The following is a 26,816-nucleotide window of genomic DNA, read 5'->3' on the forward strand; positions in this document are numbered from 1 at the left end:
GGAAATAATTTATCTCAAGTTATTTTGAATCATTTATGCTAGTGTTTTTTCAAACTGGATTTAATGAACCAGTAGCGCCAGCATCACCTGGGATGCTAATGAATGCATGTTGGACTGATGGCTTACCTCTAGACTTCTGAGTAGAATTACACAAAGGTGAGGCCCAGAATCTGTGTTTTAGCACAGCTCTGTGGAGTAAAAAAAAAAAAAAAAAAAAAAAAAAACCAAAAGCCAGGGGTAGCCACAACCTTCATGTCTACTTTCATAGCCCCTTCCCCATAGATGGTGCTGGGGGGCAGTGCAGGTTCTTATTTCATAACCTGTTATGGTGGTGGTTGTTTTGAACCACAGATGCAAAGAATTAACCTTCTCATAATCCTCACTTCTTTGGCTCATTATCATCAGATCATGCAAATCTTTTTTCATGCTTTACGTTATTTTAACTTTTTTTCCTTTCATTTCTGAGCTCCACTTCCATTCTCCTGCCCCCACATGCCCTCATTGCAATGTGTTGTAGAGATGCCCATACTGTTCTGTTTCTGCCTTTTTTCACTCAACAGTTTAGAGTTTCTAACAGCTGCACAGGACAGCAAGATTCCTTCTGCCACCTGTGATGTGTCTCCGCCCCTTGCTGTGAACACCTCAGTTGTCTTGACTCCCACCATCATAAATACCGAGCTCAAGCACTAAACTCAGATTCACCGCTTGGCTGCTTCACTTTCATTAGGCTTCAAGATTACTCATAACATTTAATTTGCTATTAAATCTAGACTTTAACAACTCTTTTTCATTGATTGTGTTTTAAGCTGCCTGGATAACATGTATTAGGAGGAATTGCAAACTCAATGGAAAATTTCTTTTTGTTTTTATTTTTTTGAGACAGGAACTTGCTCTATCTCCCAGGCTGGAGTGCAGTGACATGATTATGGCTTACTGTAGCCTCAACCTTTTGGGTTTAAGCAATCCTTTCACCTCAGCCTCTCTAGTAGCTGGGACTACAGGTACACACTACCATGCCAGCTAATTTTTTTTTTAATTTTTGTAGAAACAGGGTCTCTCTATGTTGTCCAGGCTGGTTTTGAACTCCTGGGCTCAAGCGATCCTCCCACTTCGGTCTCCCAAAGTGCTGGGATAATAGGCATTAGCCACTATTCCCAGACCGAAAATATCTATACATTACAGATTGAATTATATCTGTATTTCCTTAACTATTTCCATCCATGATTTATAGCTTCTTTAAAATGTCAGTCATAGGTATATCCTTATCCAAAGTTTTTTTCTTTTTCTCACATTTGTCATACAATTTTGTGATCTTTCTCTCTGAGGCCGTTAGCTCTTTGTTAACTAACCTAAGTTCCTAAGAAAGTCCAACAAGAAATCACAAATTCATCCTCTCTAGTACAAAACATCTGTCCTGTGTGGGCATCATTTCCCAGTGAAATATTAACTCTTAATACAAAGGTCACAATGTAGGATTGTTTTCTCTTGTTATTTGCTCATCGGGTCTCTTAATCAAAAATGCTACCTTTGGATTTCTTGTCCGACTGCACAGATGTTTAAGAAGGAAATTTTTCTAAGCAAAGATTTTTTTAATATAAGTAGCCAAGCATTCAATCTAGGGAAGAATGCAACCAGCCAGTCAATAATGATGAAATACTTTTTTGTCTGTTTTTCATTCTCCCTCACTCAGCGACTGCTGACTATGCACCTCCAGGCCAGAGGCCTATTGAGAGTGACATTCACTCTTTCCAAGATAATCCTCATGATAGGATGCACTTAATTTATCCTGTTGATGAGACTGAACTGCATTGATTTGCATATCATCAATACACGTAAGTCCTGAGTGGAGGACCAACCATCCTAATTAATATATCCTCTGTCACGGACTTGCTGTATCTAGCAAATTCTGGAATAATGCTGATTGCAGGTGGCTGGTGAATATTGACGCTGTTCAGGATTTATAAGGCTGTATTGGAAGGCACGTGAAACTAAAATCTTCCTTGGAACAATGTCCCTGTTTAAAACTACTCTCATTCAGACCCAGCTGGGCATTCAGCAATGCCAGCTATTGAGTAAGATCTTTCAAGTGCCTCAGCCTGCTTCACCTGTCAGACTGGCTCAGTGGTTTAAAAATGAAACTCTATTTGTTTCCAAAGCTCTTCATCCTCCAACTCTTCTCTATCCATGTCGCATATTCTTGCTTCTTCTTCTGATTTGAGTGTCTTAACTCTCCTAACACACATCATCAGTTTTCATTTAATTCTTTTTTCAAGTGATGTACAAATAGTGCTGAATCAGTCTTGGCGTTTCTGTGCTATTTTATCATCTTCACAACCCCCGTTTGTTTCTTTGTTTTTTTGTTGTTGTTGTTGTTCTTCTTCAGCTTTTTTCTGTTGTAAGATAAGTTTCTTTTTCATCACACTTGGCTTTTAACTCATGAGTGTCAGTTTCTCAAGGTTTCCTTTTGTGCATTTCTTAACACAGGCCTCACATCCCTTTCTCTCATCCGCCATCAATCAATCATACATTTTGTTAAACAGCTCCAAAATAAAATAAGAAATTATAAGAAAATTAGAAGCATCCCCGTGCCACTAGAAAAATCTGTTTTTGAGGCATCACCTGCTTTTTTCTAATATGTCATCTATATGCGTATAAGCATTACAGTAGAAAGTATGTATAAACTGGACATTTGATTCACTTTTCTTTATTTTTTTTAGCTTCACTGGTTTAAAAATAAATAAATACCATGCTGCAGCACTACATACAATGATCTCAGTGACAACATATCTTCCTCCCCATCAGCGACTTCTTCCATTTTTTTAGGTCAATGTCCACAACACAAATTAACATTATTCATTGTACCCAGTGTAAAAGGAGCCTACCAGATATTAGAGAAAGTTTTGTAAAACACATCAAGTTTGCCCCTAACTAACATAAAACCAAGGACCTATATAGATGAAAGTTTATTTAAATGATTCCGTAACTATTTTCCTTGACTATGTTCCCCATTACTTTGGGGTAAAATGGAGGAGAAAGAGTTGAAAAGGGGAAGGCAAAACAAAGATAATGGAAAAGTCAAAAAAAGCAAAACACAAGAGTGTGGTAGCTCAAGAAAAAGGTCAGTGGTCCTGGGGGTGTGGAAATTTCTCTTCCAGACAGATCTGTTGGCCCAGATTCTTACAATAGCTATTTTTGCATTCCATTTGAAATAAAAAAGTAGATAGACCATGCCTAGAAAAAAAATTGAGTTCCGTTTTACAGAATATTAAATAAAACACTGACTTCTTCAATTATATGTTTGCTATTAGTAGCAAAAGGAAAAAAAAAGCCACAAAACTATGGAAAATGAAACGAGTATAAATATAACATAACATGAACTCTTTCTCGCCAACTTAATGATAATGTTGAGAAGGAATATACATATATAGGCATTGCTTATGTATAATATTTCCTTTTGATTTAAAAGCCAGTATATCTTTTACCTAAAATCCTTTGCAGCTGAGAAATCTGATGATAGAATGAGCCATGAAGTTTTAGTAGAAATAGAAACAGTACGCCCACTCTTCATCTAAGTTCCTGTTTCTTTTCACACTAGGGATTTGATATTCATCATCTTTATTCTTTGGTTCCAATCAATAGGAGAATTTGGAACTTTCATGCACATGTAGATGTACTTGAATACATTCTAAATATTCAAAGTGTGTTGTAGTTCTGTTTTATTGAAATATCTATAAATAAATACCTGCATAGATAATTAATTCTCTCTTCTCATCTCTATTGTAACCTTGGTACAAGGACTAGAGGAAGAGGAGAGACTAAGAAATTACATATGTAATTCCTGGTGACCATCACCCTAGGGTACACTGTCCCCTCAACAGCCAAGAGAATAAGTCTGGATTTCATAAATTTTTGGAATATGGATTTCAGTTATTCACAAAATAAATATATGCATTTTCAGAAATCATTCCACTTATGATATTGTATTTATTAAACCATCAAAGTAGACATATTATTTGAACTGGGAATATTAGATACTGAAAATAAAAGCTATAGGATCATGCAGAATTTAAGCTTCTTCAGAATAATCTGGTCATGTTAAGGTTAAAGATTACTAAATTTAAATGGATTGGCACTAGCTGACCTCTTAAGTTCTGCTGGCTCTCCAATTCAGTGAAGTTGCTGAAGACTGAAGGAACAAGAGAGGTTTAAAATATTGAGATATATTAATCTTCAGTGCTTAGAAAGCAGTCAACAAAATAGCTCCTTTTAGTAGTTTTCAAAAACAAATCAGGTATTTAGATCTACTGTCATGAAATGTAGCATTTGATTTTGTAGCATTTGATTTGATTTCAGTCTTTCATGAAATTGTAATGGCCCCACTTGTGGAGAATTTGATTAAATGAAGGTTCATTTCCTGCTTTCAAGAAGATCAGCCAAGAAATTAATGACTCTAGAAGATGGTTCTGCTTGACTGGTTGGCTGCTAAATAAAAATTTTATTTAGTAAAAAATCTTCCGCACTAATTCTCTTAATTTTCCTTCATGGTTTGCCCATTTCTCTTGCAAATATTGTTTGCCTATAGGGTAGTTGTACCTACAGTGAATACGGTTTGTCTTAACACTTAGGTTATATGTAAGATAAAAATAAATTTACTAGTTATAACTAAGGATTCACAAGTAGATAAGAAAAACTGCTAGAATAATTTTTGTAGAAATAAAAAAATAAGTAAATACTTTTTAAAACTTGAAGTAAAGGAAGAGGGGTTACTCAAACTCCCTATAAATGTGCCAAAGATGAAAAATCTAAAATTTGTATATTCAAATAGCTAACCAAGACCCAAAATAAATGAAACACTTACACTACATGTTTTATCTCATGATTTCTGAAACTTTTAGCCCTAAGACTTTTAGGAAGGTAATTTATGCTTCTTATATGAGCTTTAATGTTTTAATTTCAGTGTTTCAGTGTTCATGCATGCATGAATGAATATTTATTGAATATTTATTGTGCACCAGTTATATACCAGACCTAGTTCTAGGTATTTGGGATACATTCATGAACAAAACAGGCAGAGTCTTGCCTTCATGAAGCTTACAAGTGAATGGGGAAAGACAATAAAGGATAAACATAACAAGTAAATTAATTATGTGGCACATTAGAAGATGATAGCAAAATGGAGTAAGGGGGATTGGGAGTAGGAATTACAGATTGCAGTATTGAATAGGATGGTCAGGTGAAGCCTGCTTGAGAAGGCAATATCTGAGGGAAAACTTCATGGAAAGAATAGAATTGTCTGAAATGAAAAAGTGTCCACACCAAAATTTAACTATTAAAAATGTGTTAACTTTTTTAATGGACATAGATTACATAACATGATATGGTGTTTTCTCATGTAACGTTTAAGATTCACCATGATGTTTGATGATTTCTAACTTGATAGAATAAAATAAGGGTAGTGATTGTGTTAAGATACGTACTTTACTATTATCATCTGTACTTCTAAGATAGGAGTTAATTTCAACAAGATGTTTCAAAACAATCATAATAAGCCCAAATTGTCAAACAGCAAAGTTCTTTAAAAACCCATGAGCCTATATTGCACTCATATATTCTATATCCTCTGCCAAGATTAAACCAGATAGATAGTAATTAAAATTAAGATGTTTTCCTCACCTCCAGGAATGCTTGTTTATACATATATATTATTTAAATATGAACTGATGGAATCTGAAATAATTCTGACAGTAAAAATCTATATTTTTAATCTTATCTGTTTTATGCACAGCCTACTTACATAACAAGTAGTCTGTCTAAACTCCCTCTCCTGGAAAAATAGAAAATTCTTAATTCTGTGTTTAATTTATCTCTTCCCTTTCTGCTATCTTGTAAGTGTAAATGGAAAATTCTTAGTTCTATGTTTATCTCTTCCTCTTCTGATACCTTCTAAGTGTTAGGCTGAATTACAAACTAATTAGCTGAGAAGTCCAGGGATTGAATTTCTGCTCTACCACTTACCAGCTGTGTTCCCCTGGGCACTTTACTAAACCTAATTAGGCCTATTTCCTCAACTGTAAAATGGAGGCACATGACTCTCAGAATTGTTGAATAAAATAATGTACTCAAAAAGACTGGCACTTTATAGGTTCTTAATCATTTTATCAGAATCATGTCATATGCTTTTCAAATTCGCAAATATTAGAATAAATAACTGAATGTAAATTACTGAAAAATGGACCAAGCCCGTATCTAATAACAGGCATTATAGTATAATGATGGTTTTTGTTTTTTGATTTATATGTTGGCGATTCTGAGAAAGGAAAGAGCTTTATGACATTATGTGCTTGTGGGAATTTTGGAAGCCATTATGAAAAAGGCACAATTTTAAATGAACCTAAAAGGAAATGTAAGATTTGGGTTGGAAGAGAAGAAATCAGTGATTCCTGAAATAAACTTACGATTACGATAGGCCTCAATGGGTAATGGATTTTTGTGAAAAGGATGATACGGGAAGCATCTTAGCTGTCCATTCTTTTGTCATAATAGCGTAGTTCTGTAAGGGCTGCTTCACACAAATACTTTCACTTGTTGCCATATTCCTAAAATACAAATTTTACTTCCATTTCTCATTTCATGTGCTTTTACTTTACAGTTGCCATTTATTTACTAAAAGCCAATGTAAAACATACTCTCCCTACTAAGGAGAATGTGCCCTTACAATTTGTTTATTTAATATACACATAATCATATAGTCTTTATTTACACAGCCATGGTTACATGGTATGTGTGTAAAATATATGCTTATACAAGAACCCTTTTGCATAATATTCACTATAGATCCTAAAACTTATGAATGAAGAACTTCTAAAACAATGGCACCATAATATTTATTACAATTTTTATTATGAAGGTACATTACATTAATAGAGTGCCCTCTACCCCATGTCACTGCCACTCAGGTCAAGAAGACATTGTACATCTTCCAAGTCAATACAGTCTCTCATACTACTTTCTACAGAGGTAAACAGTATTCCGATTTCTTTCTCTGAATATTAGTTTTATCTGCTCTGGAAGTTCATATATTATTCCATATATTTAGTTTAGTATTTACTTTCACTAGATATTGCCAAACAGTTTTCCAAAGTGGTTGTATTAATTTAAGCTCTCACCAGCAATGTATGAGAGTCTTAGTTGTTCAACTATTATAGTTTTCCTTTCAACCTCTTGAGAGCTTTTAATTCCCAACATAGTTCTTAAAGTGTAATGAGATTATGACTTCAGGAATTGAAGTAGCAATTATTTTTCATAATTATAGTTCATGTGACATTGTTTTTAAAAAGAAGTTTGGTTTATTTTACTTTAGTAAAAGTATGTGAGAAGACTAGAACTTTGAGTATAGTTATTTCATGAGCTTAGGTGGTAATGTCATATGAAATCTAAATATGGCTTTTAAGCAAGTGTTTTTATTAAATTGCAGTCAGACTTTGAATGCTGACAATAAGAATAACCTGTCTTTCTTTCTCTCTCTCCATTTATACCATCCCATTGGCTTTACCTTGATAAGTGAAATAAAAGCACTGATGGAATAAAGAAAAACGAGAATTTATTACTTTTAGAATTGTGCAAAATTTGTCAGTGAAATATGAATATCTCGGAGGTTCAAGATGGTGCATAATCCAAAAATAATTTGAAATGTATTATGTACATACATTTGGATAAGAATATAAGTGATTTTTTAAAAAAATCATCATACTAAGATTCTAAATGAAATAGTCAAGCTAAACTCTGTTCATCATAACTCAGAAGTATTAAAGCCTGATTCAAGAGCAATTGGAAAGTGATTTCTAGTTATCTTGTCTTACTCTTCACCCTACTTGGTTGGAATAAATTCATCCTTCTCATTGCAGTACAACTCTAATTAATATCACAGTGACTATGTCAAAGATGACCACATGCAACGCGTATCTCAATATGCTCTTTGCTTTTTATAAATATACTTTATTTTGTAATTTGTTTTTCATCCAAGTTCAGTGGAGATACTAAATATTTTGTTTAAATATTTCTTACTGGGTTTTATGTATAAGGCATAGTTAAAATACATATAAAGTAAGGCAGATAGTTATAGGACTTTGGGCTTGTATAATATCAATATTATTTTCAAATTTTAAGTAAGTTAATAGCCCAGAGCTCAGTGGCATAGAATACCTAGTAAACTTAAATGAAATATCAAATAGACAACAAGCTAACAAATCTAGTCCATTTTTTAATCATAACAAAACTTGTGGCAGGAGTCAAGTGATTCAAGGATTCTACTTTTTCAGGAGAAATTTTGTTCCTCAGTAATAAATTTGTCCATTGTTTGCTGTCAGAATTATTTGCATGAGTTTCTCAACATACAGATGTTTTTATAACTAGTAACTCAGCTTCGTTGATGGTGTATAGTTAATACTTTTTATAGTTTTCTATGAAAAACAAAAGACAGCCATGAGAGTGATTTACATATATTTATCCTTTAGATGCTTAGTGATTGTCTTTCAACTCCTGACCAGTTGTTCTTTATCACATAAATCAGGGATCCACTAGAGCACATATCTTTCATTTATAATACCATGTTAATCCATTTGTCCATGTAAAAGAAATTTTTAAAAATGGAGATCTGCAGATCTGCAATTGAATTTGTTAAAGAATTCAAGAAACACTTCTAGAAGATTTTCAGATTCCCACATGAATCAGAGTCTCATGGCCTCAAAAAAATGAATAGCTTTTGGAGCCATGCTTCTAACAATTTGTAATAATCTGGAAGGTGCCATGGATTGAATTATAAACTTGTCATATTTTAATTAGTGGCCATGGAATTCAAAGACTTGCTGCCTAGAGACTGGGACCTTTTTATTACTTTTTTATCTTTCTTTTTTTTTCTTTTCTTTATTTTTCTTTTTCTGTTTTTTTTTTTTTTTTGAGGAGTCTTACTCTATTGCCCAGGCTGGAGTGCAGTGGCACGATCTCGGCTCACCACAACCTCCGCCTCCTGGGTTCAAGCAATTCTCCTGCCTTAGCCTCCTGAGTAGCTGGGATTACAGGTGTGAGCCACCACACCCAGCTAATTTTTGTATTTTTAGTAGAGACAGGGTTTCCCCATGTTGGCCAGGCTGGTTTCGAACTCCTGACCTCAGGTGATCCACCCACCTCAGCCTCCCAAAGTGCTAGGATTACAGGCATGAGCCGCTGTGCCCAGCCCCTTATTACTTTATTTTTTACTGAGTTATTGAGATATAATTCATGTGGCATGAAATTCACTCGTATACAATTCAGCAATTCAGTGGTTTTTAATATATTCATAGAGTTATGCACTCATAACCATTACTTAATTTCAGAACATTTTCATTACCCCAGAAAGAAGGCCCTACGCATTAGTTGTCACTCTCCATTACCCTCTGCCCCAAGCCTCTGGCAGCCATTAATATACTTTCCATTTTTATGGATTTGACTATCCTAGGTATTTCATATAAATGGAATTATAAAATATATGGCCTTTTGTAACCACCTTCTTTCACTGAGTATAATGGCTTTTAGGTTCATTTGTGTTGTGACATGTCAGCACTTCACTTTTTTATTGCCAAACAATATTCTATGAATATACCACATTTTTTAAAAGTTTTATTATTAATATTTTTGACTGACAAATCATAATTGTATACATTTATGGGGTACCATGTGATGTTTATTTGGTTTTTGTACAGTACAATGTTATTACCTATGATTCTCATGGTACATTCGATCTCTAGACTTGCTCATTCTACATGATGCTATTTGGTATACTCTAACCTACATCTCCTCATTCCCTGCCACTGCCAAACTGTCCCCCAGCCCTGTCACTGGTAACCACAGTTTTGTTCACTGTCTGTATCATTGAATTTTTATTATTATTGTTATTTATATCTCACAAATAAGTGAGATCATGCAATGTTTTTCTTTCTGTGTCTAATGTACTACACTTAGCATAATGTCCTCCGGGCTAATCTACATTGTGGCAAATGGCAAGATCCTGTTCTTTTTTAGAGCTGCATAGTATAGATACACACACACACACACACACACACACACAGACACAGAGATTATGGTTTCTTTATCCATTCATCCATCTACAGACACTTAGATTGTTTACATATCTTAGCTATTGTGAATAATGCTGCAATAAACATGGGAGTCATTTTGTACAACTCACGCTACCCAATCCCGCATCCATGTATAGCTTCTCTAGGTATTAGGTTGAACCATTTGAAATTGGCATTTTGTAGGTAAAAAGTAATATAATTTTATCATTTTGTATATCTAAGACTAATGTGCTGATTATGACACTTTTTGTCTTTTTTGACCAAAATATATTTTTGTGTGGACCAACTTTGTTGGAAGAGAAAATGTCATCTATAGTAAATAAGGCAAAACAGTGTTCAGTGATTTTGGATATCATGATAATTTGTAAAATACTTACACATCTGCCTATTTGATTTAGAATAACAAACTCAAGAATACTAGGGGAAAGCATAAGTATTATTTCTATTATAAATTTTTGAAAGTACAAATTTTAGTAAGTGTAGTCATATCTCTACAAAGGTCATTCCAAAATATTTTGGCCATGAGGCAGCATTAATTTGTCAAATTTTATTTTAAAAATCTAAAAATTATAATTTAGCACATTTTAATACCAAGAGAAGGCATGATTTATCAAACAAACTCTTTCTGAGCATTTAAAAGCTGATAGCCCCATGCTAGGTACTTTGCAGAATTCAAAGAGAGTAGGAGACAAGTCTCTATTTAAAATAAATTTACATCCTATAATAGAAATTATAAAACATATTGATTACAAAATATATGGCAAGGAAGGCCGGGTGCGCTGGCTCATGCATGTAATCCCAGCACTTTGGGAGGCCAAGGCGGGCGGATCACGAGGTCAGAAGATCGAGACCATCCTGGCTAACACAGTGAAACCCCGTCTCTACTAAAAATTCAGAAAACTAGCCGGGCGTGATGGCGGGTGCCTGTAGTCCCAGCTACTCGGGAGGCTGAGGCAGGAGAATGGCGTGAACCCGGGAGGTGGAGCTTGCAGTGAGCCGAGATCGCGCCACTGCACTCCAGCCTGGGCAACAGTGAGACTCCATCTCAAAAAAAAAAAAAAAAAAAAAAAAAATACATATATATGTGGCAAGGAGTCGCTTACAAATAAAAGGCAATATTTTTAAGAAAGACTGAATATATAGAATAGGGAAGACAATATGGAATACAAAAACTTCTCTTGTGTTTAGACATTCCAATTCATCCACTAGTGTGATTTTTCATATTCAGTCATTTAAAAAACATGTTTGAGTGCCAGTACGCTCCAGGCACTGTTTTAGGTGCTTTGGATACCAGTGTCCCAAACATGTAAAAATGACTGCCCTCGTGGAACTAGCGGGGTGAAGTTAGAAGTAAATAAGAAAAGTTTATGCTATGATAAGTGCTATGGAAAAAAGTAAAATGCAGCAGGGAATGAAAAGCCATGGAAAGGGCATGGTTGCAACTTTCATTATGGTAGTTAGGAAAGCCCTGGTTGGAAGATGATCTATGAGCAAAGGCTTTAAGGAGGTAAGGAAGATAAGTCTCCATTATTCATTCCTGGAGAGTTTAGGTAGTCATACACAAATACGCAGACCAATATATTTAGGGAATGAAATCAAAGTTATTTCAGAAGAGGCACAGGGGTGAATTAACTAAATTTGGGAGTATAGCTAAATCAGATTCTTAAAGATCAGGCATCTACAATGAAGCAGATATGACAGAGGGGTGGAGTCATAGTATCTCATCAAAGTGAGAAAAGGAAGTGTGAAGTTAGGTTTCTGCTAATTTATTTATTTATTTATTATTTTGAGAGACGAAGTCTTGCTCTGTCGCCCAGGCTGGAGTGCAGTGGTGCGATCTCGGCTCACTGCAACCTCCACCTCTTGGGTTCAAGAGATTCTCCTGCCTCAGCTTCCCAAGTAGCTGGGACTACAGGCATGCACCACCACACCCAGCTAATTTTTGTATTTTTTTTTTTAGTAGAGATGGGGTTTCACTATGGCCAGGCTGGTTTCAAACTCCTGACCTCAGGTGATCCACCCACCTCAGCCTCCCAAAGTGCTGAGATTACAGGCATGAACCACCATGCCTGGCCTTCTGTTAACTAATTTATTAAATGAAGTGTCTTGAAAAGGAAATCCTGTTTCCCACTTTTTTTCCATTCCCAGAACCTGTAAAGAGTCTGAAAAATATGTATGTGTGCCATCACAATTGATTGAATGGATGAATGGTGGTAATCCAAGGTCTAAAATACTGTCAGACAGAAGAAGGGTAAGGCAAGCATCAGTTTAGGCTTTTGGGCATAAATATGAAAAATCTAAAAATTCACAGAAGTATCTCAATTGTCGGTTGTCTTGTATTCTTAGAATATGACATACCTAAGGGCAGTAATTATGTTTCACATATGGTACTTACTCCATGTTGGAAACAATTGGGAAAAAAAGAAAAGAAAAAGAGTGTACCAACTCATTCTCATGTACTGAACTAGGTATCCCTAAATATTAAATGACCTCCAGAGAGTATTAAATGTTTTTGGAAGCTGTGCTATTTTTTTAGACTGACCAGGACCCTGTTATGTGCTTTCATGATAGAATATGATTCATGTTCCCAGACATAAGTCTTAGGCATCATTTTTTATGTTCAGAAGTGAACAGAAGACAATACATTAAAATAAAGCATTCACTTTGAAAAATCACCTCATTATCCAAAATCACTGAAGAAAAATAGACATTTAACAGGGAGATTATATTTAAAGGGGCATTTTTTTTTTTGCGGGTCGGGGGAAGAATTCTAACCAGTATGTAGGATTCACTAAAACCTGAAATCTCTTGTGATTATTACCTGTGGTAGTCATACATTTTCAAAATGTGATTTATTCATTTTATAGCTACATACTGGGGAGAGAGGATGATGATGGTGGCAGCAACTGTCTTTTAGACATCAAAAAAAGCAGTATGACCCTATCTATAGATGAGTTAATCCAAAAGCATTGAATCATATAAACTGAATATTGAAAGAACAGTTTGGAAAGAAAATAAAAACAGTAAAATATGAAGGTCAAAATTCTAGCCACATTTACTGAGTAGTTTAGAAAGATTTTAAGAAATTTTGCGCCCTCCAGTGGTTGTTTTGGAATGAATTATTATCATTATTATTGTAATTTTTAATTTTACCTGGGCTTTCCATTTTCCAGCTTCATTGTTTTTGGTAACCCAGGAAAGTTTAACTTGTCTATACCTAGAAGGTGCCTTGGGAGACCGACTCAATTTGATTACCCAGTTTTATGCTTGCAGAAATAATGAGGCCAGTAATGATAAGAGTGCCTAGTATGTAATGATGAAGTTCAGGCTCAACAAGATAGGTTCACAAAAGGGCAATCATGCTTGATTTATCTGATTGCCAGACTGGAAATGAAAGAAAAGCAGTGACATAATTACCCCAGATTCCTCAGACCTCAAATACAATCCAGCACAGATATTTGCAAAAGTCTTCAGAATGATTGCAATGCATTTTAAAGAGGGACATACATCACTGCTGTAGCAAATACAAGAAGGTTTAAAAAATCAAAGACAAAGGATGTTTCTGGAATCTGTATTGCTTGCAAACAGAACAAAAGAGAGCAGGGAAAGAAAGTCACTTGGTGAGAGAAGAAAGGCAGAGGATTGAATCAGGAAACGCTGCGGGTGCCTGGGTTTTGTGACCTTGGTCATATTCTTTGGGCCTCAGCTTTCTCACCTATGAAACAAAGGATGTGGACTAGGCTAAGTGGTTCCATGAAGCCAGTATTTGGATAGAGGCAAGGGGTAGCAGAATTGATCTCATACAAAAGAACTGTAGTTTGAATATTTATGAAAGCAAAATTAGCTAGTGATTAAAAAATGGGGCAGAAAGGTGGCTCAAGGAGAATGCAAATTTATCTTAATTCAAAATACAGTATAAAACTGATGGAGGCGATTCTTTCAAGAAGGAAAAAAAAAAAAAGAAACATATCATCTGTCTCTCAATTTCCTTCCCTGTAGTCTCATTCTCTCTTCTCTGCCATCATATTTTTTTTTTCTTGACTTTCTGTTTCCAGTAACCATGGTGATGCTTCTTCCCAGCAACCTTCTTCACAGCTGGCCTTTTTGGTTCTCATCGAATTTTGCTCCATTCACTGGTTCAGGTTGCTAACAATGCTGTAAAAATTAACTTATTTATTGACATTTTTCTCCTTCCCTTTTCCCCAGGAAATAAATGCAGGAAATTATTCCACACTTAACCTCCCTACACAAGGGCACTGTAAAATAGGGATATTCAACTGCTAATTTCAGTTGCTAACATGGAGGGGATACAGATTATGCCAAAGATTGAATTCTCTGCCTGGGCCCTCAGGGACTGAAAAGCCCCAGGACCAAGCTGGTTGCCACCTCCTTTTGCTTTTGTATGTAAATAGATTGCCCCCAGAAATCACATATCGGCCCTGGTTTTCTAATTCTCTGTTTTTTTTTTTTCTTTTTCTCTTGTAAGGAAAACATGGCCAAGTGCATAATTATAACTGTTAAAAGGGTATTGAATTTTCTGTAGGAAAATATACATAAATATATGCATTTCTTTAATGAAGATATTTATTTTGGAATATAAATAAGCAATATGCGATAGTTAAAAATATTGTAATTATCTGCCAATGACAAAACATCAACAAATCTCTGATGTCCTTAATGCAGATAATAAAAATTCCCATAAACTAGTATTTAGTCATGTCCAGTTTGTGTAGCTTAACTTGTTTGTAATCCTATATGCCTGAAAACTGTTTCTCTATTTAAGCGGTGTGTGTGTGTGCGTGCGTGCGTGCGTGTGTGTGTGTGTGTCTGGCATTAACACAAAGGAGACCAGATGATGACATTCATAGGCTGATAGACTCGACTCCTGGGGACACACTTGGATGGAGGCAATTAAAATGCCTGTCAGGCATTTGGTACCAGAAGCCCCTATGGCAAACCGCTAAATCGTAAGTGAGGGCTGCATCCTATTGTCAGTGAATGATGGCGGAGCTGAGTGGCTTGTCATCATTCTCGAAAATTCTGAGACTAGTGAGCTCTCTCCCTCTCTCCCACTCGCCTTATTTTCCTGTTCGCCACTGCGGGGACTTCTAATTTGCAGCTTCCCTTTCCCCGGCACACACAGACACGAGCTGGTGGCTTGCAGACTGCGTCTGTCTGGAGCTAGAGAGCCAGAGAGCCAGCCTGTGGGGATAATGCTCCCGGAGAAGGATTCTGCAGCAGTTCTCAAAGGCTAGACTTGAGTGGTATTGCTGCATATGCGCTGGTAATGGTTTGGGGCTTTTAATTTTATTTCGTTTCATTTTCAATTCGTTTTTCATAGGATGTGCTTTATGTAATCTCAGAGTAAAGATCTTTTAAAATTCATTATTGAGCTTCCTAAATATTCAAGTACTGCATTTTTTTTGTGCTACAGACCTCCAGGCATAGATTTATTATTTGAGTATAAAGAATGCATTTGCTTACTGGTGAGTTATAATTTTTGATATTTAGTTAACAAATCCATATATATATATATATATGTTTCTTTTGTTTTGTTTCGGTAGATTCTTCAGCTTGTCTCTAACCGAGGAAGCATTGATTGGGAGCTACTCATTCAGAAAATTAAAAGGTACCACATGTTTTGTTTGGATGTTTTAATGAGGGAAAATCAGGGGAGAATTGGAATGTTTTTATTTAAATTAATTTATCTATGATTGGTCTTTTATCCTTAAGCTTAAGTTGATCATTGTCTATTGCATATACCATTTTCTATGCAGATACTTCTATTATCTAAGGTTGTTTTGATTAGAGGATGACTAAAGAATTGTGTCTTTTGCCTATGTTGCAAGTTATTAACAAATATCAACATGTTTGGCTTATTTGGAGATTTTATCATTGTAATGTTTTTTTTAAAGTCCAAAATTCTCCATCTAAATGAAAATTCATTAATTTGAATTTAAGAGAAATATGCTAAGTAATGATTTTATCTGAACAAATCCTGCTAAGTGATTTATTAAAATGGTTAAATGAAATGCCTTGCCCTTCCCAGGTAGAATGGGTGCTAGAGACGAAAGCCCAGGAATGACTCAGTATTGTTGGCTTTACAAATAAAATATTGTAACTTCTTTATTGACATTTCAGTCTTTAAAATGGACATATTTAAAGGCCGAGGTTGTTAGTTCTTAAAAGAAGTTATTTTACATTTGCTTTATTTGGAATTGACAGCATAAGAAAGTAATCCTTCATCTTGCCATGAATGCACTTGAATCCACTTGATCCTGGGCCTCATGCCTTACATGAAAAACATTAATTTTGAAATTCAGCATCAGGATATATATTGATTTGAGATGGCAATTATGGATATTACCTTTTCTTTAAGACCGTCTTTAACTTTAATACCTGTTAATATCAATAAAACCTATATTTGTAATTTGCCTTTAAAAAATGGAAGACATTTTCTGCCCTGCTGAGAAGAAAATCAGTAATACCTTTTAAGCCTTTCCTTGGGATCTATGTATAATATTTCCTCTCAAGACTGTCAGTCCGAAGCATTTTACACAATAAATTTAATTTTTGAAAAATATACCTGAAAATAATGTCCAACTACTGACACTGAAATATTATAAGTATGTGAGTGTACACCTGTGAGTGTGAATATTTGTAGCAGGTGAAGGAGAGTAATACATTGTCCTTTGTTAATATCTGCAATGTATAATCATGAGAACCTTAATTTATTCATTCCACAAGCACTTCTTAAGAGCCTTGCTGCTGTGGGTAATTATTGTGAGAGAGAGAGGGAAGGGGTAGATGACACTGTCCTCAGCCTTCTAGAGTGTAGGCAGCATCACATAAAGATTTTTGAACAGGAGAATGAATTCGTTAAAATAAATTAGTGTGGTCTGAGAAAGGAAATTGCATTATTTCAGATATTGAACAAAAGCTAATACTAGTCTTGAGACACATAAAATTATATTGCACTTCTTCTTCAGAAATTACTCAGTGGAATCGTGTATGAAATCCCCCAAACAGGATTATTTCACCTAGATATTGTAAAACTCTTGAGACCATTCTCTCTTTTTAGATTTCACTCAAAGTAAGTGAAAATATTTATGTTTGGTGGAAAAAAAATCTATTTGGTATTTGCCCATCTGATTAAATCCAGAGAGCATATATTTCACATGAAGATCTATTTCCTAATCTTCAGACTCATTCAGCAACTCATTATATTAATTTTGAACTTTAGGATATGTGTATGAATTGGAAAAGGGTGAAATTATTTAACTGCTAAAAAATGACTCCAATGCGTTGTCAATAGGAACTAATAAGTTCTGTTATGATTTGTCTGGATATTGGAGAAGGGGCATACAATCTCACCAACAGGCCTCTGGCATCTAAATTTTGGAGGACCAGTTAAAAATTCATCTAGCGGTATGCTGACAAAATGCATATAATAAAAAATGAGTTTATTAAAATAGTAGGTTGGGTGATTAAAGCAGAACAGAATTTGACTACTAGAGTCAAATTCTGGGACCTATATCATGGTTTTTCTAGTCAATATTGTGGTGAGTTAATTCCTTTACTGATTTCACTCATTTTTTTCACTTACATTTTTAACACATAGTATAGTGCCTGGGTCACAGTAGGAATTCAATAAATATTTATTTAATTATTTCACAAATAAATGAATTTGTCAGCATTTTCCCCTATTACTTTTTTGTTCTTGCCTTTCTTAAAATTATACACTGTGAAACAGACATCTGGTCATTTTTTTTTTAGTTACCCAAAATATTCATTACATGTTTCTAATAAATAATAATTAGATCATTACACTGGATATAAAAGTGACAAACCATGTATAGAAATTTCTTTAGGCTGTACGGAATAGGATTTTTCTGGTTTTAGATTAAAACGGAAAGAATTCTTGAAATGTCCCCTTTCACTTTCATCAGCTGGGGGAAATATGCCAAACTGCAGCCTGAGCTTTGCTTATGGACGCTTCCTAAATACTACTCCCAGGCTTGACATTGTTTATTGCTTTTCATGTCTTTGGCCAAGATTTTGCTGCAGCAAAGGGGAGGAGGCCTTTCCCCCCATCCCCTTTCTATAAATGTAATATGAGAAATGATGTCATACTTACCAGTCCATAATGAGCAACAAAGCATTTAAGGATAGATAGATAGATAGATGATAGATAGATAGATAGATAGATAGATAGATAGATAGATAGATAGAATATTTTCTGTATATTTAAGGAATCTATCAAGAAACTTCTAGAATCACATGGCTTTAGAGAATGTTATTCTTTCTTGCTGTCATTTATTTTCATTATTAAAAGTATAATTTTTTGTTATTAACAATGTGACGGACAGTATCCTAAGTCCTTAACATATATTATCTCCTTTAGCTCTCCCTGTAATCCTGGGAGATAAGTGTGGTCTCCATTTTACAGATAAATGAATTGAGACTACAGTTGGGCAAACCCAAGTCTGGCCTCAAAGTCCTTCATATTAAACACTAAATTTTACCACATTTTTTTCTAGCAGATTTTTGGTACCTAGTCATTGTCTTGATGTTCCATGCAATAAGGTTAAAACAGTATGCTTGCAAATATCTTGATTTATCTGCAAGTATAAATCAAAATATCTCTATCTATCTATCTATCCATCTGTCTGTCTGTCTATCTATCTATCTATCTATCTATCTATCTATCTATCTGTCTATCCTATCTATCTATTTATCTATGGTAGAAGTGAATATGTCCTCAAATACTTAACTAATATTCAAGCTCTATTGTATTTTAATTTTTATATTTAACTTGAAGGACTTTATTCTTCAAGGATGAATGTCAAAGATAAATTAGGAAGTTTTAAAATAAATGTATTCATAAAGCATTTTCCATGTAATTATAGTGAAATGTTATTTTGAATTGCATAATCTATATAAGAAAATTAGAGAATCCAAGTGCTAAATAGCATAACTGATGTTATAACTTGCAAGGTTTGGGTTTTTTTTTTCTTTTTAAAGTGAAATAATGGCAGAAGAATGTTCAAGTGACCAAAATAAAGAAACAAGCAGGCAACAGGGCCATGGGCAGAGTAAAAATACCAATTCAACCTCAAGGACAACTAACTTGGAAAAATCACTGAAGATACTAACAATTACACAAATATGTATTAAGATTCTCTACTTGCAAAGGAGTATTTACAGGAGAACATTTCCGGAGCTCAGTTGGAGTCAGCAAAATAAGATGAGGAAGTAGTACCAAGGCTCACTGGTACCGTAAGAGAGACATAAATGATTTTTTTTTTTTCAGATTTTATTTTAGATTCAGAGAGTACATGAAGGTTTGTTACCTGGGTATATTGTATGATGCTGAGGTTTGGGGTATGAATGATCCTGTCACCCAGGTACTGAGGATAGTACTCAATAGTTCATTTTCAACTCCTCCTTCCTTCCCTCTGCGCTTTAGTAGTCCCCAGTGTCTATTGTTGCCATCTTTATGTCCACAATTACCGAGTGTTTAGCTCCCACTTATAAGTGAGAATATGCGGTATTTGGTTTTCTGTTCCTGCATTAATTTGCTTAAGATAATGGATCCAGCTGTATCCATGTTGCTGCAAAGGACATGATTTCATTCTTTTTATGGCTGTGTAGTATTCCATGGTGTATATATAACATATTATGGATAATTTATTAAGGGACTTCATTACAGGGCATGAATTCTAATCATTGGAATGGGACTCAACAGGAAATACTTCATAGAGTATGAGTTTTCTGAGGCGGAACTTGGGGATGAATAGAAGTATTCAAGGGGGAGACAACGTATGGAGGAGCTCCAGAAAGAACAAACATTAGCAAAGGAATCAAAGGAAGTGAACATGCTGGGAAAGCACAGACTGATCTCATTCATATTCTAGAGTATAAAGCAGAAAAACAGGACTCTTAGAAGATAAAGTTGTATCATACGAAATGGCTAATATTCATCTTTTTTGAATTATAAAATTAGAAAATTTCATTCAGTTCAACTTAATACATTGGGAGATGGCTTTGAATGCCAGTCAAGGAGGTTTGTTTCTTATTCAGTGGGAAGCTATTGACTAGTTTGAGCAGGAGACTACTATGACCAAACTGTGTTTTCAGATTATTTGTTTTATAGCTCTGTGTGAGATAAATCAGAACTGTGTGTGAGAGCATGTTGAAGAAAGCATCACTTCAGAAGCTGTCATAGAATAATCCCAGGGGAAAAACAAAAGTCCAAAGAGGGTATTGACTGTGGGCATGAAAAAGAGGTCATGATAATGAAAGATGCTTCTGAGCTCAAGTTCATATACAGAGTAGAACAATTGCTTGATTGGTAGGAGGAATGAACAGCAGAAGGACTCAAAGGTGACTCTGAAATTTGAATCTGATAACTGAAAAAAGCAAAGGGAGAAAGTAGCTGAGAGCTACACGAGGAAAGAGTCCTTCTTTTATTTTTATTGTATCTCTAGTCGCTAGCAAAATGCCTAGTACATAGCAGACAGCCAATAAATGCTAAATGAATGAGTGAGAACACGAATAAAAAATGAAGAGGTATGTTTAGGACATGAGGCTGGATATGTGGGTGGACTGGGCTCGTAGATTGCAGAACATGCAGATCCAAAGCTGAGAAGGGAAGTTTAGGGAGGGAGGGCGTGGGTGTTATTAACAAGAAGGATAAGAAGAGGACCAGAGGGAATCTCTTGGCAGTACCTGCATTTAAGATGCAAAATAAGGGACAAGAATTAAAGTTGAATGAAGAATTAAAAAAAAAAAAGCAAAGAAAGAAGAGGACAGGGAAGGTTATAGAAAACAAAGTTAAAACTCAAATTTTCCAGAAAAACTGAAGAATGAGAATAAAGAAAATGTTGCTGGGAGTATTATTTATTTCAATAATTATTTTGTTATAAAAACAATAAATCCACATTTTGTAAAATTTGTAAAATTTAGAAGGGTGTAAGGAAGGAAATAATAGTCACTCATAATTACACAATCCAGAGATTATTGTTAACACTTTTAAAACATTTTGATGTATTTTTTATCCTATTGCTTTTAAAATTTCATAATCAAAATCATAAGGATATAATTTTGAATTCTGCCTTTTTTCATTCAGCAGTGTCTTAAGGATTTCTCACAACATTTTGCCACCTGCATATTATTCTCTCACCTAAAGTTTGGACATTTTAAATCCCTACTGTTTCCAGTTTTTCACTATCACCATAATGCTGTAGTGGAATAGTTTGTATATTACTCTTACACAATATTTTAAATAATTTCCAATGGATAGTTACTTAAAACAAAATCACTGTATTCTATTTTGTCAAATTCCTGGACAGATAAAATTTGGTGGTTTCAAAATGAGCCTCGGCTTTCCTCCAAGGAGGATCTGAGATTACATTAGCACCTGCCATGTGCCAGCATCTGTGAAAGGCACTTTAATTATCACAGTATCTCTGATGTCGATTCTATTATACCCACTTTACTAATGAAGGTACACAGACTCAGAGAGTTGCACATGTTTTTTAGGCCTAGTTTTAAATCTGGGTCTGACTCTAACTAGTCAAATCGTGGAGACACAAACAAGATCTTGAGAAATGAATGAGTAAATAAGGATATGAAAACAATAGGAAAATACACTTAAGGAGTCCGGAACTCAAAGAAAAGAGAGATAAAATATGAAAAGCAAGAAGGTAGTGACTTCAGTGCGCTTTTGCTGCTTATTAACATGGAAAATCACAAGCCAAAGGCAGGGGCAGGTAGAGAGGGGTGCTACATGTGTAATCAGAAAAAAGACAAATTTATAGAAAATGTTCTAAAGGAAAGGGTATAAAGAACGTGGACAAGAATTTGGGCTTGGCATGCAAAATGTAGCTTCCTTATAAATAAGAGCAAGGGAAAAGAGGGTGAGACTTTTGAAGTGGTAAAGAAAAAATATGAGAAACCTTGCATATCTCATCTGGACTTTATCCTGGACTGAAGGATATTCATTCAATGAATATTAATTGAATACCTAATTCCATTCCCGTTTCCTGCCCTTATGGAACTTTCCTTCTAGAGAGTGGAACTAATCAGTGGGCTAACAAATAAAATTAAAATTACTCAGGCAGCTGTTCAGAGAATGAATTATAAAAGGGTAAGAGTAGATGCTAAGAGATTTGCTTCTTAAACTTTAAAGCAGAGAAGAGTCAACTGGGGATCTTACTAAAATGCAGACTCAGAGTCAGTAGGTCTAAAGAGGGGCCTGAGATTCTGTATTTTGACAAGCTCCCAAGTAATGATGCTGCTGGTCCATGGAGACCATGCTTTGATTAGTAAAAGGCTAGAAGGCAAATGTCCAGGCAAGAAAAATGAGAAATGATTGGAGGAGTGGTTGGTGAGCAAGTCTGAAGTGAGCTCTTCTTATTCAGCAACATAGCATACTTTTAAACCTCTTTGATGGAAAGAGCAAATTGCCTGTCTACTCCCGAGTTTTTAAATCCCAGCCAGTTTTATGAAAAATCCATTAAATCAACCCAAATGAGCTACTGGCATTCCATTCTTTCTGCCCATTCTCAATGCTTATTATGCCATATAATGAATTTCGGTGGCTTGTGTTTGGGGACGTGGTTCTATATAACCCTGTGTCCGTTTCTTCATTCCAGTTCTATTTCCTGCCTCATGATTTCTTTGGACTTTAATGTCCTCTCTGCCTGGATTTCCAGTACAGTACTGAGCTGCTAAATTCTCTGTCCCCTTAGCTCTTGACATCCATCACACTCCTCTGTGGGAAGCTTCTGAGTCTCCACATTCCATCCTCTTGCCACCCACTCCTACTAAAAGCCCCGGGTGACTCTGCTTAAAGCCACAGGGGAACAGAAGATAGTCTCTGACTTCAGGAAAGCATTTTTTTTTCCGTTGAAATCATCTCTTTGTGGTGGACTGTTTTGGTTGGTGACAGCAACCTGCATCCCTCTGAGGGATTTGTCAGAACTCTATAGGAGAATGCATCGGTGTGTAGACAATCAGAGTGTTCAGAGGAGCCAAGTATTCATAAGAAGCCTTGACAGACTCTGTCAGGAGGAATGTTACCTTTCTGCCTCCAGTGCTAGAATGTAACTCTAGTCATCTCTTTTAGCTATGGGAACGTGGGAGCACTGACCTGTTTGATTACCCTCACATCACTCATTGTAGCTATAAAATATCTAAGAAAAAAATCAAATAAATATAACATACCCATCCTTCAAGGCAGAGTAGCTCAAGTGCATGTTAAATATCTGTGGTGTCCTCATCCTTATTAGCATTTATCCTTTGCTTAAGGGGCTAGTTCTCTCTCTGGACCATGCCATGACCAGGTCTCCAGACCTTGTTATCATTTTGTAATTTGTTGTATACTTAAACAGCCAAATAGGCATGAGCAATGTCCTTAGAAACTAGAAATTTAAAATTGCAATGAAGTATCAAATTAGTTTTTATGTGAAGTCAAGTTAAATTGATAATCACATTTCCTCAAGAACACTTAGGCAAGGTCCTTGAGGAGAGAAGCCATGTTAACAGGCACCTTTGCACTGTATATGTTGTCTACATAGAAGATACTCTAGATGCACATTCAAGTCGAAGCTAAGAAAAATGAGTGTTGTACATGGGTGTGTGTATGTGTCAGTCTACTCTTTCCATAATGGACAGCACTGGTCTTCTTTGCATCATCAAGCTGGAATTGACTATTTGCAGAATTTGAATACCATGCCCATGCATTCAATTGTTAAGAGTCTCAGAGTAGCACAGAATCATCTCTGGTCTTCCAAGATTGTCTCTCTTTCTCAAAATAGAAGTCTGAGTAAGTTTTGTTTTTTGTTTTTGTTTTTGTTTTGTTCTGCAGGTTCCATTTCAGTCTGCCTCAGATGGTTTGCATTAACCTTTTTTCAGATTCTCTCCTGGTGTTAATGACTACATTATGACCATTTTAAAAAGCCAGATGTACATTGATCCACCTATGGCAATTATTAAGGAAAAGATACTCCATTTAATGCATTATAACCAAAATATCTTTCTTCACCACGTGTAGGAACTTAAGAAATGATGTCTCTTTTTGGGAAGATCTTACATTTTATTTCCAAGGTGAACAATGGTTGTACTTAGTTTTCTTTAAAACTATTTTCTTGCTTTTTATATGATTTTCTCATGGTAAGATTTCATGTTAACATATACAGAATAAGGTGAAGCATGCAAGCGTTAAGGATTCTTCTGACATAGTGCCCAAGAGCCACCAATTAACATAATTTTGAACATAACTTCAGGAAAATTTGTGATATTTCAGAGTCTTAAAAAAAAACCTAAGTAGACTGCCTATACTTTAAATAGTGGGAGCAGAAATTCCTAAAATGATTGACTTTCCAAGATGACATTTGAGGAAATATGAGATCTAACAATCGAAACATTTTAAAAATCATACAAGAACTCATGAGCCTGAGAAATTCACATAATTCTGGCTGTACTTTTCCTCTGTAGGAAAGTGGATAATCCAAGAGATAAAAGAGAAATAATAAATGTAATATATTACATTAAGCATGCAATGTTTGCATGCTTAATGGAATAAGCTCCCTATGTTATGTTCACAAACACAACCAGGGTATAGACTGTGAATTACAAAGTTGTTAGAATAATGCAACCAGTTAAGAAGCTGCATTTAGATTTTAAGGACAAAAAAAAATAATCACTTCTGTACCACTTTTAAGTAATATGAAACATTTTCTAAGACGTGGTGTTCCAAAGCTCACAACGGTCTTTGGAATGGGAAAGGCAGACATTGTTATTATATTTGGTATAGATGAAAATACTGAAGTTTGAAGAATGCAAGTGTCCTACTCAAGTCAATGCACTAGAAAATGGTAAACCTGGGACACATATCCTTGTTCTGACTCCAAAGCCTTTACTTCCTACTACTATGAAGCTAAAGCAGATAAATGAGTGTATTGCCCTAAATCTACAATATTTTAATAATGCACTGACTTGATTGCTAAAATAAGGAATCTAAGGCAGTGGCGACCTCTACTAAGTGGATTGCCCTACCTTAAAAGACTCCTGCCCTTCCAAGTCTTGGATTAGTGTGGCATGGATTTATGTAAATACTAGTAAAAATAGCACAGTCTTTACTGAAATGGTTTAAAATTTTTCAACATGAGAAGCAGATAAAGCTAAATATATCACAGAAAATGAAATAATGAAATATTATTGATGTAAAACACATTTGAAAGAAGGATAAATTAATAATTCATTGTTCAGTTCTGAGTTCCACAGAATTTTAAGCGAATGGTAAATAACGCAGTAAGAATTCAGGATAGCAAAGAAAATTATTAATGTTTCAAAAGAGCACATCTATGGAGAAACATTTTAAAACATAGGCATTGTGATTTGCCTGTTGTTAGGATAATTAAAAGAGCTTATAAAGAAAAAGTTTAAACTGGATCTCAGTTCTGGTCTCAGATGTAGACATGGAAGGGGAAGAACATATATAAAGAAAATGATGACCTCAGGAGCTGCTGAGTTAGGGTCAAGGTGGAGGTTAGGTGTCCTGAGGCAGACACCCATGGGAATGGGTCCACCAAGGCCATGCTCAGTGCAGCGACCCACCTCTTCCTCAGTTCTCCTTTCCACCACCCCATCCATGCTCTCATTAGCACACCAGGGATACTGAAGTGTGTTTATCTGGTCTCCCTTCCCCAAACACATCACTACCTTAATCTTCCAGACAAACTAGAACACCCTTCCTATTATTTTTTTCCCCCTTTAGTGGCTCTCATTTGCTATCTCAAACAGTGTTGGCTAATAAATACGGTAGCCACTAGCCACATGCAGCTATTTAAATTCAAATTAAGAATTTTTTTTTTGAGATGAGATTTCACTCTTGTTGCCCAGGCTGGAGTGCAATGGTGCAATCTCGGCTCACCGCAACCTCTGCCTCCCGGATTCAAGTGATTCTCTTGCCTCAGCCTCCAGAGTAGCTGGGATTACAGGCAAGCGCCACCACGCCTGGCTAATTTTGTATTTTTAGTAGAGACGGTGTTTCTCCACATTGGTCAGGCTGGTCTTGAACTCCTAACCTCAGGTGATCCGTCCACCTTGGCCTCCTAAAGTGCTGAGATTACAGGTGTCAGCCACCATCCCTGGCCTCAAATTAATAAAAATTTTAAAAATTGAAAGTTGACTTCCTTAGTCATACCATGTTTCAAGCGCTTGATAGCCACATTCTTTTTACAGAACATTATATATTATATTACATTTCTAGTATCACAGTGGGTTTGATTGAAGAGTGCTGCTCTGGAGCATAACCAGAACCTTCACCCAGGCATCCTAGGCCTAGGCTTACTCTCCTCCTTGCCCATTACCCTTAGCACACAGTCTTCACTCCACCTGCTACTGTCCTCCTCTTCATGGTCATTATTACAATTAGAATTAAAATAGTAATGACTCCTGTTTATTTAATGCATATTATATGCCAAGTACATACCATGTTTATGAGATTATGAAAAAACAAAACAAAGAAGCCTCATAAGACCATTTGGTTTCTTTGTTTTTTGTTTGTTTGTTTTTGTTTTTGTTTTGTTTTGTTTTGTTTTTAAGCTTAATTTCACAGTAGAGGAAAATGAGGTTTAGCAAGGGTAAGTCTGTTTTACAAAGACAAAGAGCTAATTGTCTGTGGGGCCTGAAATA

The 26,816-nt window shown here is 35.4% G+C and overlaps 1 protein-coding gene across 74 annotated transcripts in view; it reads left to right on the forward strand.

Annotated features, from left to right (window-relative positions):
- Window positions 1-26,816, forward strand: part of MAP2 (microtubule associated protein 2) — a 310,066-nt gene that overhangs the window by 140,313 nt on the left and 142,937 nt on the right. For 35 of the 74 annotated variants that reach the window (NM_001375493.1, NM_001375501.1, NM_001375503.1 and 32 more), the window contains one exon: window positions 15,677-15,741. The gene's annotated coding sequence lies outside the window, so the exon portion shown is untranslated. Of the gene's footprint in view, window positions 1-14,972; window positions 15,080-15,247; window positions 15,599-15,676; window positions 15,742-26,816 lie in introns of those variants that run through there. The other 39 variants (NM_001375537.1, NM_001375531.1, NM_001375539.1 and 36 more) reach the window with 4 other exon arrangements.

Source organism: Homo sapiens, chromosome 2, assembly GCF_000001405.40.
Source record: "Homo sapiens chromosome 2, GRCh38.p14 Primary Assembly".
NCBI classification, from domain to species: Eukaryota; Metazoa; Chordata; class Mammalia; order Primates; family Hominidae; genus Homo; species Homo sapiens.